The following is a 16129-nucleotide window of genomic DNA, read 5'->3' as shown; positions in this document are numbered from 1 at the left end:
GGCTGACAAGGCCCTTGGAGATTGGCTCATTGCACAGATAGGGAAAGAGGCCAGAAAAGAGAAGGGACTGACCCAATGGCATGCAGGGAATCTGTGGCAGAGTCAGGACTGGGAGCCACATGTTCTTGTGTCCCCACCCCATCACTCTCCCTCCCTGGCCTGGGGCTCCCAGGAGCCAGGGAAAGAGAGAGATAATGAGAGGCTAAAGGACGAGGCTCTGTCATGAAGAAAGATTGGCCTTCAAGGCCTCTGGAAACAAATTGGAGGTATGGGGAGAGCCAGAGGTGGCAGCACCAAGGACAAGGCTGCTCACGGGCAGGGGCTGGTGGGGAAGTGAGGGGGAGGTGCAGGGGAGTGGGCAGGCAGGGAGCTGTAGTTGGAATGCTGAGGACACGTGTTTCTTTTTAGGCACTCCTCTTCCACTGCTTACTGTCTCCTCTCGGGAGTAAAGGGAGAAAAAAGAGGATGTGATGCCTAGGTGAGCCCCATTATGTGGGATGTGTTGGTAGGGGCTCCCCAGACAGCCCTTCTGCAGTTGGCAGCACCAGGCCCAAGGCCTTCCTCCAGGCCAGAGCCCAGCCTGCTTGCCCAGCTACTCTGTCTCCTTGAGGCTGGGTCAGCACCCTCAAGGTCTCACAAGATGCCCTCAACCCACTGGCTTTCAGTTAAACACACCTAGGTTTGAATCTCTCCTCCAACACTTTCTAGGCTATGTGAAATTGACCTTACTTCTCCAAACCTAAGTTCATGCAACTGTAAATTGAAGCGGAGTGCAGGGAGGGAGCAGAGACCCCAGCAAGAATGCTCTGCACTCCTTCCTGTGCAAGCGCTGTGGCAGGGGTCATAAGTCCCTTGCCTCTTTCTTTCCCTCTATACATCCTGGTCCAGCCTAGTGGGGAGGGTACTGAAGACCTTTCTGTGGCAGCTCACATTCCGGGCACTCTCAGCAATGGAAGTGCCTCTGGTGCCTCAAACCTGTCCCTCACCCCAACCATCCCCAAAGCAATCTCGGCAGTCATTTCACAGCACAACATACAATCATATGTGTGCTGTGTTTCCCCCACATGCATGCACGAACTATACCTGCTGCTTGCCAAATGCACAGGCCAAGGGTGGAGAAGGCACCTGGGGTGCCCTTGAGCAGACCCTCCAGACCAGGGCCTCCACTAAGTGCTTGCTGTGGATCATCTTGCTAACTCTTTGCTACATCTGTAGGAAGGCTTGCCACTATCTGTTTCATGGATACAAAGACAGAAGGGAACATCCTGTTCAGAGAAGAGGACTCCACATCCCTGAGCTCAGCAGTGGTCGGGCCCACATCAGAGCTCATAGCTGCTCGTGCTGTGTTACACTGCCCTGTCTCAGGCCCCGAGGAGGAGACAGACAGGGAAACATCATTAACATGGAAGGTACCAGGAAAGGGTCATATAATGGAATACCACACAGCAGTGAAAAAGAACATGGCCACATGTAACATGTAACAACATGGGCGGCTCTCCCAGATGTGATGTTAAGTGAGGGAAATACAGCATAAAGAAAGAACATACTATGGCATGCTATATTTATATTCCATGGATATGAACTTCAAAAACATGCGGAACCAACCTACAGGGAGAGAAGTCAAAATAGTAGTTTCCCTTGGGACAGGGATTACTGATTGGGAAGAGGCACACAAGAGCCTTCTGGAGTGCTGAAAATGGTCTATATCTCGACCTAGGTGGTGGTTACAGAGGCTGATACATATGTAAGTATTCATGGAGCTGTACACTTAAGATTAGTGCACTTTAATGTATGGAAATTATGCCTCAATAGAAAAAGTATTTTTAAAAACCAAAAGTGCCAAGAGCTTCCCCCAGATCTTTGCATAACTGGCCTCTTGTCATTCAGGCCATCCCCTAAATGTCACCTCTTCAAAGAGGCCTTCCCTGGCCCCACCCCGCACCTAATTGAATTTAGCAACACTCCCCGCGTCTGTGCCTCAGTTGCTCTCTATTCTATTAACTGGTTTTCTTTTCTTTTTAGTATGTACCAATGTGCTGGAGCTGGCTTTCACTGGCTCTTCCCAACTCAGTATTCAATGACTTCACACTGCCAGCTTGAGATGAGCCATGATGGGAATGTCAGCACCACAGAAGTCAGCAGGTGCCGCAGATGCCCTCCTTTAAGCAGATCACTCAGCATTTTCCAGTACACCCTGTACACAACACTATTTCAGATCATCTTATGTATTTGTCAGCTTACCGATCTGCTGTATGTCTCCTCTACATGAAGTTTCATGAGGGCAGGGTCTATGGCTTGTCATTTTTGCCACTGTATCCCTGGTTCCTAGAACAATGCTTGTTGTATAGTAGGTATCCAATACATGCTGCTTGAATGAATAAAAGTCTGAGGGAAACACTGGAAACACAAGAGAGGAAACTGTTACCTTTGTACCTGAATACGGAATATTTGAGCTGAGGCTTCAACCATAAAAAAGAGTTTGCTAAGGAGCCAAGGGAGAAAGGACTTCCCAGGCAGAGGGAATAAAATGGAGGCATGAAAGAGCATGGGAGGTCTGGGGGAAAGCCAGCCGCCAGAGTGGCTGTATTGTAGGGTGTGTGGGGTAGGAGAGGCCTTGGGAGTGGCGCAGAAAGGTAGGCTGGGGCCACATTGTGAAGGGCCTTAGCTCCTTGAATGAAAGGCTGGATTTTCCCCTGTAGGCGATAGGGAGCCATTGAAATGTTTTAATTAAAGAAATAATCCGATCAGGTCTTTGCTGGCAAGGTACCTCTGATGGCAGCCTGGAGAGTGGATTGAAGGAGGACGGCTGGAGGTCCAGTCACCTCTCCACAGTATGCCTAGGATAGAAAGCTGGTCTTTTGAAACCAGTGGTTCTTCTCACTGTTTTTCCTGCCTGTTTCTATTCCCTCAGTCCTCAGTGAAGATGGAAAACAGCTGGCTCTTCCCTCAAAGCTCAGTGGCCCTCTAGGTCCCAGGCCTTAGTTTCCATTGGCCACATTTCTCTGTCTGGCCTAGCTCTGTGGGGGCAGCCCCTGTGGCCTTGCCAAGATGCCCAAAGGGTGAGTGCCCAGTGTGGGCACAGGAACTATCTGTGCCTTCCTAGTGTTTTGACTTAGCCAGCCCATTCCCTGTTCTGTACCTCATCCTGCTGAGTCCCAAGGCAGCAGCAGCCACTGCTATAGTTGCCGCTAGAAGAGGAAGGTTAAGGGGCCTTTGTTGTCTGTGCTGTTGCTATGCAGGAATAGCCACAGGCAGCTCTGAGGTTGGGTTGTGGTCTAGAGTGGGGTTCATGCTTGGCAGCTGAGGCAGGCCACCCCAGCCCAGGCTCCCGCTCCAGGCAGGGAGTTGTAAATTAGAACCTCCAGCCTTCTAATTTAAGGGACCAAAATAAGCCCAGGAACATTCCTGCTGGGGCCCCAGCAGCCCAGCCTTCAGGCAGCAGCTAGGCTCTGTCCTCAAGCCCTGAGTTGCAGAGGTTGGGGAGCTGGGCAGCCAAGGATGGCTAAAGCCTGGGTGACAGGACGTACAGGAGGTATGGGAGGGACTGGGTCGAGGCATTTGTCTGTGGTTCTATAATCAGTCCACTTTAGTTCAGTCTGAGTCCCTATCAAATGTTTAACATCAGGCACTGGACTAGCTTAGCCCTGGGATGACAGTGGTGAGTAATGCTAGGATTTACCCATCTGGGAGAAACCTTAAAGACCATTTGAGCCAAACTTCTCATGTTATAGATAAAAAAAACGAGGCCCAGAAAGGAAAAGACACTGACCCCAAGTCACACAGAAAGTCAGGGGGCAGAGCCAGGACTAGAATCAAGGGCTGTAGTGCAGAACTAACTCCACCCCAAGCAGACTTTGGGGAGCATCGGATAGAGCTTCAGATGGCCTGTTGGGTGTGTCCTACAGGAACCTGGAATTCAGTCAACATGCAGGAACTGTGGGAGGCCTCCCAAAGGTGAGGCCTTGGAACTTGGCCTGGGGACAGGGCAACCTAGGCATAGAGAACAGGCCACATGAAGTCACAGAGGTGGGGAATCTCACAAGCCAGAACCAGGAACGTGATGTGGTCTAAGAGTTGCATGGGTGCATGGATGTCTCTCCCTAGCTCATGTTCCAGTGGACACGTTCCCCAAGAGTACCTGCTGCCTCTCTTTCTCAAGAGGAAAGGAAGCTGAATTGTTGATGAGCATCCTTATCATCACAGCTAACATTTTTTGAGGGCTTACTATGTGTCAGGCTCTGTGCAAAGTGTTGTCTCATTTGATCCTCATAACAACCTTATGAGGTGGGGCTATTATTAACCGCCTTTTAAAGATGAGAATACTGAAGCACATAGAGGTCAAGTAGTTGGTTAAGTTGACACAGGGGATTTGTACAGAGGAAGTCTGATTCTAAGGTCTGTGCACTTAACCATCACACTATAATAGTGTTAATGATAACTGTAATAATAAGCTAGTGTCTGCTGAATATTTACTATGGGCCAACCACTGTTCAAAGGATTTCATAGGGAGTAGCTTGTTTGATCTTCCCAATGACTTTATGGGGTAGGTATTATTACTATTATTGTCATCTCTAATTTACAGATGAGAAAACTGAGGCAGAGAGAAGTAAAGAGCTAGTATTGCTTCTGCAAGACCTTGCCAAGTAGACAAGGGAGAAAGGATTTCCAAGGCAAAGGGAACAAAATGGAAGCATGAAAACAGCATGGCAGTGTCTGGGAGAGCCCAGCAGTCAGACTGTACTGTAGGGTGGGTAGGATGGGGAGAGACATTGGATGGTCCTGGAGATTGCCCCCCTGCCCACTGAAGGAGTGCTCTGCAATGGCCCTGACGAGAGGGAAAGAGAGGGTTCCCCTGGTTGCTCAGGATTTGAGAGCTGGGTTGGGAAGCCTGAAACATCCTAAGAACCCTCCCTGCCTCAATGGGCTAGGTGAGGCCAGGGCAGGCGTCAGTCGAGGGAACAAAAAGTACAGGACTCAAGCCACATCCCCCAAGGAAAGCAGGGACAGAGGGTGTCTCTGTGGGGTCTCTTTCCTCATCATCAGGAGCTTGGCACCCCTGGGAATTGGATAGTTCTCAGAGACCCAGGGAATGTCAGGGTCTTTAGTGTGACAATCCAGTCCCACCCTTTTATAGCAGCAATGTAAAAGCTGAGGTTGGGAATGGTGGAGGGACTCATGCGATGTCACATGGATAGGAAGTGGTGGAGCTGTGGCTCAACTCCCAGTCCTCCAGAGTTCTTTCTGCTACCCTGCATGGCCTCCTTTGGAGCAGGCCCTTGAAGTCAGAAGAGACCTGAGTATGAATGATGGTGGATTTCTTGCCTGAAACCATGGAGACCAGAGGAAGTGTCACAGTATTTTTTAAATTCCAGAAGAAAAGAACTGTCAACCCAGAGAGTTCAATATCCAGTGAAAATATCATTCAAGAAGGAAGCAGAAGTAAAGACATTCTCAGATGAAGAAAAACTAAGAGAATGTGTTTCCAGCAGATCTGCTCTAAAAGAAAAGCTAAAGAAAGTTCTTCAGTCGAGAGGGCAATGAGGGAAACTTGGGACAGGGGTAGACTTGCTTTTTTCTGTCATATTGGTCCTCAGTGCCCTCCCCCATCTTAAACCCTCTTCTATTACAGTCCCTCCCAGCCTGGGTGCCCTATCCTCTTTGCCCTCTGGCTGGGGCAGAGATCCAGGAGTCCAAGGCCTGGGTTTGTAAGCCAGGTGAAAGCTAAGGGGAATATGCACGGGACATGGATTCCTGGATTGCAAATTGTGCTTAATACCACCACCAACTAGCTGTGCAACCTCAGGCAGGTTTCTTGTCTTCTCTGAGCCTCCATCTGGCTACTGGGGATAATTACCAAGCCTTTTGTGTGGCTGGGACAAGAGAAGGGGAGGGAAGCCTGTTAGTGGTGTGTGAAAGGGCCGTCCAGATGGGAGGGATGGTTATCATCATTCCTCTGCTAGTGCCCTCCTGTCCAGCCAGCCAGGCATCTGCAGTGGGGTGGAGGATGGGGGCAGGCCACTTAGCAACTCAGCTTCCTTTTACTTCCTCCCTGGGGCCTTTGCAGTTCTGGATTCCAGGGCTTTGATGGAAGGGTAGGAGCTGCCTCTTTGCATTAGCAGCTTGGGCTGCCTGGCCTGGGCCTACCTATTTTCTTGGAATCTTTTTGGCACCAACAGCTTCTTCTTCACACATGCTATTAAAAGAGAAGGAAGTGGGCCAGAAGTGGGGTGGCTCTTCCACCAGGATAGCTGTAGGGGCACCAGCTGATCCATGGGTGCTCGGGTGGAAGGCGGGGACTTCTCCAGCAGTAGGTTCGGCCCTGAATGCAAAGCTCGAGGACAGGGAGAAAAGAGGACAGGTAGGAATAGCTGTTGCGGCTAGGTTGTAAGATAAGGACAGGAATGTAGCCAGGCTTGTACACAGAACCATGGCTGCCAGAGGAGCCCAGGGATCTGGCTTCTAGACCCATCAACCTGCTTGCCAATCTTTGGCATTCTCCTTTCCCTCCCCAAGCCTCAATTTTCCAGCTGTAATGGTGTACTTGTGTGTGTATGCATATGTGTGTGTGAGGGGAGGGCTAGGCTACTGACCTCTGAGGTCTCTTCAAGCTTGGACACACTGTGGTTCTAATGAAGTAGTTAAGGCCTGAGGCAGGTGGCTGGCGGGGGAGCTGGGGGCTCCTGAAAGCTATCTGGGGGAGCTGGTACAATGTGGTCTTTGCTAGAGTGCTTTGTTGCTGACTGAGGACTGGGGAGTTGCAGCTCTGCTCATTATCATCTACATAACCTTCAGCAAGTCACGTAATGTCTCTAATTTCCCAAGGCCAGTTTTACCCCCACCTTGGTAGGACATTGCCCTTGTGGAGAACAGAAGATCCCCTTTGCATCTGATAAGAGGGCTTGTAGCATAGCTATGAGAGGGATCTGCGCCAATAAGTCTCCAGTGTGGTTCCCACATCCAGCCTGGCCAGCCCCCTGCACGGTTGGCTCCTTGACAGGCTGCCACCAGACCTCTCAGCCTCCAGGGCTTTGAGCAGACTGGCTTGCCTCTGGCTGATTCTCCTGGGGCAATCATGGGTCTGGACTGTACCATTCCTCCAGCAGGTGCCCCCCCTACCCCCTCAGCAGATGGCAGGGGGTTTCACCTTTACCCTGAGGTCACGACATGTACTAGTTTACAGGGCTTTAAATTAGGCTGGGGCCAGGCACAAAATGATCAAGACCAGTGAGGGAGATGTCTGTGTTGGCCCCTTTCGTTGTGACCCTAAAGGACATACATGGAGGGGAAAAAGAAGTTATTTGGAGATATAGTGAGTTCAGAAAGCCCAGGGCTGGCTGGGGCATTTGGAGAAGCCAAAGAGCTTGGTCAGTTAGAAAACAATATCAGCTTGGGCATAGGCTGCAGTAGCTGGAGAGAGTTCAGGGAGGGAGGGGGGAAGGCCAGAAGCTCAAAGAGCTCCCTCCTGAAGCCCCCTGACAGACAGCCAGATACTCCTCATGAAAAGAAGCATTTCAGAAATGATTCCCAATGTCAGGGTCCACTGGGAGGGGTCAGGTGAGGAGAAGCAGTCCCGGAAGTAGTGTATGAGCTTGACTGTCCCTTGGTTCTGTAACATACTTCCCTGCCTCATTGGGTGCCTTCCCTTTCTCTGAGGTTGGTTCTCCCCCTTCCCCAACAAGACTGTGAGCCATCCCAAAGCTTTCCAGTAAATCTATTTTTGGTTTAACTTAGCTGGACTCAGATTCAACCAAAACCCCTGCTGGATATGGCCCCTGATGGCTAAAAGTCACAAACCAGTGTGCCCATCCTAGCTCTAGAACAGAGGCAATGCACGGTGAGGGGAGGAGCCAGTTCAGAATCTATTAATAGGTCCCTTGAGTAGTGGAGCAGCATGTTAGGGTGCCCGATTTCCAAGTCCTTGGGCTAAGGAATGCAGTAGGTGCTCCATGGATGGATGAATGAATAAATGAATGAATAAATAGCCCCCACACCCAGCTATCCCACGCACCCTGTCCTTGGTGCCAGACTACCTCTATTCCTGCCCATAAGCCTTTTCTGGGCCACCCTGCCCACCTGGCCTCTGAGAGAAGAAAGAGAAACTCACAGAGTCACGGGATGGCAAGCTGGCCTGGCCTTTACTCTGCAGAATCCAGTCCCCTCCTGGCCCAGTTGGAAAGGGCAAGGCTCAGAGAGGTGAAAGGTCTGGCCAAGGGTGTCAGGACTCGGCTCTCCTGCCTCCATCATAACACATGTCAGGAATTTTTGTTAAGTTTGTGTTCCAGAGGTCTCACTCCACAGCAAGTTCTACCCCAGAATGCATTGGGGACTTCAAAGCATGACAGGACGGCATCTGAGCTCTCCCACTCCCCTTCGGCCCCGGCACTCCTGGGGCCAGAGGGTGGGAGTGCCTTTGATCAGTCAGGAGTGTTGACTGTCCTTCACCGGGCCTGACAGCAGAGATGAGCCAGAGGCTGGCCCATGCCCTCTGGATGCCGGGAGAGCACACAACGTCACAAGAGAGAAAGTCCAGCCTCCAGCCTGGGGCCTCCTGCATCTGGGGCGCGCCACCCAAAGCCTGCACAGCTGGCCAGCAGGGAGGGCCACAGCTGGGGGATGTTTGTGCTAATCCTCAGCAGAGGAAGCCGTGTGATAGCTGGGCTGATGTCTCCAGGGTGGGCCGCCACTCAGCGCTGGGGGCTTTGCTTCCCCTCCACCTTCCAGTCCCACATTCCTCCCCTCAAGTTCCTGCCTCCTGCAGCCCCCACCCCCAGCTTCTCCTACCAGTTACCATCACTTTCTCAGATAGAGTCCTAGGTGTGGGAAAAATGGCCCTGGGCTGGGAGTCTGGAGGTCTGGGTTCCACTGCTGTCTTGCTGTGTGATCTGAATCAGTCCCTCACCCTCTCTGGACCTCAGTCTGCCCAGCTGCAATGCAAGGAGAAAGGTATATGGAACTGCCCTAGCACTGCTACTCTGAGAGTCTCTGAATCAGGGAGTGTGATTTGTGACTGATGACTCAATCACATATAAGGTTATTCTCAATCACATATAAGGTTATGCTTATTCTCTGTCTTGTTGGGCTCAGCTGGATTGTCTGGGCACTCTAGCCCCCATGACCATGCTCCTAAACTTGCTGTTAAAGGAACAGGAGAGTAAGGTCCAAGAGCTTTGATCAGGCTGGGGGGAAGAACAGAGGGAAGTACAGATTGCTCAAACCCAGAAATGCTCCATTGGTTCTTGGACCCATGGCCCAGGGGAGAAAAGCTAAGAAACCTGATAGTTGATAAATCCAGGAACAAGGTATCCAGGTCTCCTCTAAGAACAGGTTTTCTGTGACCAGAGCTCACATGCCTTGCTCCCAGAGCCCAGTGCTTCTCAGGCCAAGTTCCCTTTCTTAGGGGAGATGACCATGTCATGACAGCCTCTCCAGCCAACGAAGGATGGGGGCTTGTTACTCCTGGAGTCCTCAGTGCTCAGTGGAACCAGAACAACCCACCTTGACCTGTACAATACAATGATGCAGGCCTCACTCGTTAAGACTGGGGAAAATCTCTACCATCAGGCCCCAAACTGAGGCTGCCCAGAAAGGTTTCCTGTCAGGACTTTCCTCCCTCAGGGATTTCTGAGGACTACTGCATGCTGGGCTAGGAAGAAAGCAAAGATAGAGAAACAATCTCAGGGGTCGGGGGTGGTAGAACAGTCCTTGGCAGTGTGCTGTGGCGCAGAGGGCTGTGGACATGGAGTGCCCCTGGGAAGAGGTGATGGGCTCTCCCAAGGCCTGTTCACTGTGTGCCAAGGTTTGCCTGCTGCCTCTTATTCCACCCTCACACAACCCAGGGGAGAGGTATTCATGGCTGCATTTTATAAGGAAGGACACTGAGGTAGAGTGATTAAAGGGCCTTCTCAGATGTCCCATGGCTCAGTTTTGTCTCCAAATCTCATGGTCTGTCCGATCTCCATATTACACTGCTGCAGTCTCAACACAGCCAAGAGTACTTTCAACAGGAGAGGACAGGAAGGCTTCACCGAGAAGGTGACATTTGGGATGGACATTCAGAACAGGTGGATGGGAAGAAGGAGAGTATTCCAAGGGTGTAGAGGAGTGTGGGGATGGGATGGAGTATGCCAAAGACAGGAGTTCAAGGCATTGAAAGGTACCTTAGAAGGACAGCAAGGAGGCCAGATTGGCTAGAGGGAGTGGCTGGGAAAGTAAAGGGTGAAGTTCAACAGATAGTTGTTCCCACTGTGGGGGCCCCTGCATGTTAGGATCAGGAATTTGGCCTTGATACCGTAGGCCATGGGAAACCATAGAAGGATTTTGAGCAGGGGATGGGCCATGGGCCCTTCCCATGGCAGTGTGGAAGATAAATGTGAGGGGAGAAGACAAAAGTAGAGATATGAGATGAAGAATCTAAAAAAGTTGATCTTATAGAAGTAGAGAGTAGAACAATGGCTCCCACAGGCTGGGGAGGGGAGATGTGGAGAAGTTGTTCCAACTGTAACTATGTTACAATTAGACAGGAGGAGTAAGTTCTGGTGTGCTACTGTGCAGCAAGGCCATGCAGTTAACAATCATGTAGTGTATCTTGCAAAATATCTAGAAGAGAGGATTTTGAATGTCCCCACCACAGAGAAATGATAAATGCTTCAATGATGGTTATGTGAATTACACTGATTTGATCACTGCACAATGTATACATGTATGGAAACATCACTACACCCCATAAATATGCAAAATTATTATGTATTAATTAAAATAAAACTAAAGAAGAAGGAGAAGAAGAAGACCCCAGGGGGAAGGATCACTGAGGAAGGAGAAAAAGAGGAGGGAGATTGAAGAAATGTGAGTGGGTAGGACTGAAGACCCTCAAGGTGTTGCAGGGGGAAGAGAAAGGAATGCAAGATATACCACCCAGGGATGTAGTAGATGGGAGAGTAACTGTGGGGGATGAGGCTTCTGGGAGAAGGAGGATTTTGAGATGGGGTGTGGGTACAGGAGAAATGTCAGTGCAGTTTTGGCTGTGGTGGGTCTGAGGAGCTTGTGGGACATTCCAGCCTAGGTGTGTCATGAGTAACAGGAAGAAAGGAGATGAGAAGAGAAACCAGCTCGAAAGAGAGCAGTTTGGGAGTCATCAGCCTCTTCCTAGCAAGTTCCATAGCCTCCCAGACCTCATTGTCTTCTTCATCTGTATGATGGCGTAGTATTAGGGTCAACCTCATTAGGTTGCTGTGAAGATTAAATGAACTGACACAAGCACAATGTTTAGAACAGTGCCTGGCACAGAGTTAGCACTCACTTCATCTGAACTCTTATTAGCACAGAGGTGGTAGCTGCAATCTGAGGGGTGGATGAGGTCACACCAGAGGCATGTGAAGGATGGAAGAGAGGTGGGCCTGGCACAGAGCTCTAGGAGCACTAACCGCCAGTGATGGGCAGAGAGCACCTTAGAAGTGTGCCAGTGACCAGGCTGGAAGGGCCTTGGTCTTCAGTTCTAATCTCATGAGGTTCCAGTGCCACCTCCCTGTGACAGAGTCTTTCTGCCTATCTTGAGACCCAGGTTGTAAGCTGTGAGAGCTGCAGGCACTTGGGACTCCAAGTATCCCTGCCTCACCTCTGCTCACCAGTACCCCATTCCCTCACACTGAGCCCACAACCAGATATCTCCATGTGCCACAGCACTGTGCAAAGGAAGAACCCCACATGGCCAGAGTTTCCATCCCAGGCCACCGTGGGCCTGAGACTGGTCTCCTCAGCTTCCCATCTGGGGAGTGATTGCAATATGCCCCCCTTGCCCCTTTCCCCCAGGGTGAAGCAGGCAGATGGGCTTGTGACTTTGAAGTGTTTTTGGGTACCCTTGGGAATTCCCAAGGCAGGCCCAAGCCCTAATTGCCTCCCAGAGGCTATGCAGGCTCTGCCAGAGGAGGAAGGGCCAATTCTTGCTTTTTGTGATCTTCCAACAGGCTGCGGGCAGTGCCTCCAAGAGAGCAGGGGAGACTTGTTTGAGGGCTACAGGCCTAGGCAGTGGGCAGGCCGGAGGCCCCATCAGCAGCCACCACTCCACAGTAATCTCAAACTTCCAGTCCTCTTGGTGTGTAGCATCTTGCAGAGTCATGCATCCAGGCTCACACCTGTGGTGGGGTCCGGGGACACGTGTGAAGCTTTCAGGGCCCATGCTCCTGTCAGGCAGCCCAGCAGAAGCTGTGGGAGCATGCACAGAGGCCAGAGCTTCAGCTCCTTGGGATGGTTCTTTCTTTTTGGCAGGAGGGAACATGGTAGGACAGGACAATGAAACAAATAGCTGAAGGAGGCCCAGACAGTTGCATTGGGAAGAACACTGAGTGTGGAGTCAGGACAGGGTGTGGCCCCAGCTGATTGGCTGAGCAGGCTTAGCTATGTGACCTTTCACCCTTGTCAGAAACAGGCTTTATTTGAATCTCTACTATGTGCCAGGCACACCGGTCTTTCTTTCATCTTAACAATGCCTCTCCAAGAGAAGCCTTATTACCCCACATTACAGATGTGGAAACTGAGACCCACAGAGGTGAGGTGGCTTGCCAAGGTCAAACAGCAGGAAAGTGGCAGAGCTGGTTTTTAACTGAATCCAGAGCCTGTGTGCTCTCACTATACCCGGCTATCTCCCGTTGAAAAATGAGAGGATAAGGAGGAGCTCATCATTACTTAACTACAGAGGGGCTGAGCCTGAGTTGCAAAGCCAGCACTTGTCCCACACGCAGTGGAGGCTGCCCCAGTGTGCCTAAACCCAGACAATTAGGAGTTGCCCACAATCGCTGTACCATGGTCTCATGGAGGCAGCCAAATTCCTAAACATATGGATCAGTGAAGACCAGAAGGCCCCCCTTCTGCAGCTCAGTGGACTGGGGAGCACCCCACCTTTCTCCTCAACTTCACGTGGACTCCTCTTCCTATCAGTAAAATCTTAGGAGGTCGTCTTACCTCTCTGAGCCTTGGCTTCCTCTTCTGCAAAATGAGATTTCCCTATCCTGTAGGGATGTCATGAAGATTAAATGAAATAACCCATGAGAAGGAGCTGGGGCTCCAAAAGAGATGGAAACAGGGAAGAAGTTGTCTAAGAATGCCTCACCTGTGTACACTAAGTTAGACTTTACGACAGCACGGTCTCATTTATTTCCAGGGTTTCCCTTGTTCTGTTCAACAAACCAGATGCCAGCGATGGTGTATTGGTGGTGGTGGTGATGGTTGGGGTAGTACCTACAAAATGAAATATGTATCAAATGGAAACATGGCTACCCTTTGATCTCACAACTTCGCATTAGGAATTAGACAAGTGCATTAAGGATGTTTATTGCCTTCTTGTTTGTACTAGCCCCAAATGGCAAACAACATAAAAGTGTAACAATGGGGGATTGGTTAAATAATTTCTGGTTATGGTACATACAGTACACAATTAGAGTACATTTCCAGTTAAGATGGCAACAGAGCCCCTCTGTACCAAGCACAGAGTGATGGAAGATCAATACACTGTAAAAAGAGAAAACCCCAAAGACAGAATCAGGCTGAAAAAAATGAGATATAGAGCACACACAGAAATGCAAAGCAACCAGCACAGCTGTAGCCTGCCGGCCCCTGGGTCAGAACACGGGCGCCGTGGTGGGGGGTGGGCAGGAGTGGCCGGGACTCAGCTCCTGTGAGTACTACAAGTGCTCCATTGTGGGATGGGAGGCAGAAACCAGGGGGAGGAGGGGCAGGGCTCTCCCCTTACGAGCTGGAAAAGACAGCTTCCAGCTGCTTCTGGGAGTTCTGACTACAAGGCAGCCTGGGCCATGAGGAGCTGGGTGGAGGCAGACTCGGCCTCATGACAAGGAAGTGAACCGAGCCCCAAGGTTCTACACTGAAGCAGGAGAATGCCCCCAACATGTCCTATAGGGCAAGAGACCTGAGTGTCATAAAATCGGATTCTGGGCTGAGGGGTGTGGAGGGGCCAGTGGAGGCCACCATGAAACCACCAGATAGGGAGGGGCAAGCACTGAGAGAGAAAGACAATAAGACACAAACACAAACAAAACAACACCAACACTCCCTCTCCAAACCAAAATTCCAAAACACATAAAGAAATCTAATGCTCAGGGAGAGCCAGCAAAATCTACAATCAGCACATAAATTTACTCCAGATGAGTTTTAGAGAATAGGCTGACAGATTTTGAAAATAAGCATGCCCAGGATGCACACAGAGAGAAATGAAGGAATGATATTCCTTAAAAGGACAAAATAGGATTGCACAAAAACAGGAAGAGAGATAAAAAGAGAAAATCAAGTAGAAACTTTGGAAGTCAAAAATATAGTTATCGAAATAAAAAGAAAGCAAACTTCAATGAATGCGATAGCTCTAGCCTGGACACAGTCATGGAAAGAATTAGAGAATTGTAGGCTAGTGCTGAGGGATTCACACCAGCATAGAAACAAACTTTGAAAGAGCAGTTAGTAGGCATGAAGGTTGGCATTGAGGGGCTCTGGCCTAAGTCTAACAGAAGCTCCAAACAGATAATGGTGAGGAGGCAATCATTGAGAGATAATAGCTGAGAGTTTTTCAGAAAGGAAAAGAGGTATGAGTTTCAGGGAGAAAGGGCGGGCCAAGGACTAAGCCAAATAAATAAAATAAGTCTATACCTAGACACTTTGTGGGAAATTCACAGACCATCAAAGATAAGGGAAAAACCTCATGGGCTACAGCAGAAAAGAGACCCATTCTACACAAAGAACAAGTTCACAATATGAGACAGAGCCACGCACAGAGGATGACTGCTATGACCTGACGACGGGGAAGTGTCTTGTTCTCTGGTAAGCCGCCTCTAAAGATGGCCAAAGACATGGTTTTTCCTAGGTTTGAGGTGCACTACTTCAGGGTTCCTGCTTACCTCCTGCTCGTTCTCTGGCCCTCATTGTGACCATGCTTCACTCTCCCATCCTGTGCTGGGACAACCATTTTTCTTTCCTCATTGCTGCTACTGCAGAGTGAGGTAGGGCTGTGGCCTGGAGGAGATCCTCTCAGTGCACCACTGAGTCTTGCTTTGGAGGAGAGGATCAGGAGAACCAGCACTTTACAAGATGAGTACTGTCACCACCAAACTTGATATCGGAGGGTAAAGGAGTGCTCGCCTTGGAAGGTGAAGGGGGCTCCCCACACACTCGGGTGTCACATGCATCTAGCTTAGAATGTCTGCCTTGTGACTTCCAGACTGCATGCCTTTGGTTAGCAAGTCACTTCCAAGCCCCAGTGTTCTCATTTACAGAAGAGGGACAATAACTTTACCCAATAGAATGGTTATACAGAAAAAAAGGGGAGCCTAGAAATTAATGGAAACGTGCTGTGTAAGCTGTAATGTGGTGGACTATTATGACTGCCTCTTCCTGTCTCCAGCTCACCTGGAATCCAGTTCCTTCCCCTAAGTGATTTCAGTTAGTCCCCACAACGCCATGACATGGGTGATATTATCCCATATGTATAGAGGAGGACACTGAGGCTCAGCAAGGTAGTTCTTCCTCTCTGAGGTATTAAGTGGAAGAACCAGGACTTAAATCTGGATCTGTCTCACTCCATGTCTGTTCTTTACTGCTGGTCCTGGCTTTGCCCTGACCTCAGACCTCTAGGGTACATGGAGGGAGGGAAGGAGGGAGGGAGGGAGGGAAGACCTGTTGCATTGGAGTCTCCACTCTTTAGGGAGACTGAAGAGGCAGGGTCCAGCTCCCAGGCTGAGGTCTGGGGACAGCTGCAGAGCAAAGGAGCTTGGGAGGTTGAGATGGGGGAAGGTAGACAGCAGAGGGGAAAGAGTTTCTAACTGCACCCCAGTTAGGGACCACACAAAGCAATTGGCCTGCCTTGCCAATCTCAGTTTAAACCCAGCTCCACCCCATAATGCTTGTATGATTCATGGCAAGTCATTTAGCCTCTCTATGCCTCAGTCTCCTCATCTTTCTATGAGGTAGTAATCTCTATCTCCCAAAGCTGTGGGAAGGATGATATGAGGAGGCATATGTAAAGCACCCAGAACTGTGTTCACAAAGGGTGGCCTCTCTGCACCCATCACTGTCCCAGTCCTCAGCTCTGGGCTCTGTCCTGGCTCCCGACCCCAGCAGCATCTCCTTTGCTCCT

The 16129-nt window shown here is 50.2% G+C and overlaps 1 long non-coding RNA gene across 1 annotated transcript in view, besides 2 other annotated features; it reads right to left on the bottom strand.

Annotated features, from left to right (window-relative positions):
• Positions 1-16129, bottom strand: part of LINC00269 (long intergenic non-protein coding RNA 269) — a 30368-nt gene that overhangs the window by 6051 nt on the left and 8188 nt on the right. Inside the window, exon 2 of the long non-coding RNA NR_103715.1 lies at positions 2242-2397. This is a non-coding gene — a long non-coding RNA (long intergenic non-protein coding RNA 269). The remainder of the gene's footprint in view (positions 1-2241; positions 2398-16129) is intronic.
• Positions 13151-13650: an enhancer, noted in NCBI's record as "H3K4me1 hESC enhancer chrX:68410067-68410566 (GRCh37/hg19 assembly coordinates)". NCBI's record gives its function as "activates a minimal SCP1, AML or CMV promoter by ChIP-STARR-seq in primed H9 embryonic stem cells {active_cell/tissue: H9 hESC(primed)}" and the evidence as "EXISTENCE:reporter gene assay evidence [ECO:0000049][PMID:30033119]".
• Positions 13651-14152: an enhancer, noted in NCBI's record as "H3K4me1 hESC enhancer chrX:68409565-68410066 (GRCh37/hg19 assembly coordinates)". NCBI's record gives its function as "activates a minimal SCP1, AML or CMV promoter by ChIP-STARR-seq in primed H9 embryonic stem cells {active_cell/tissue: H9 hESC(primed)}" and the evidence as "EXISTENCE:reporter gene assay evidence [ECO:0000049][PMID:30033119]".

Source organism: Homo sapiens, chromosome X (assembly GCF_000001405.40).
Source record: "Homo sapiens chromosome X, GRCh38.p14 Primary Assembly".
Lineage (NCBI taxonomy): Eukaryota > Metazoa > Chordata > Mammalia > Primates > Hominidae > Homo > Homo sapiens.
The sequence above is the reverse complement of the archived record's forward strand: the minus strand, read 5'-3'. Positions and strand labels throughout refer to the sequence as shown.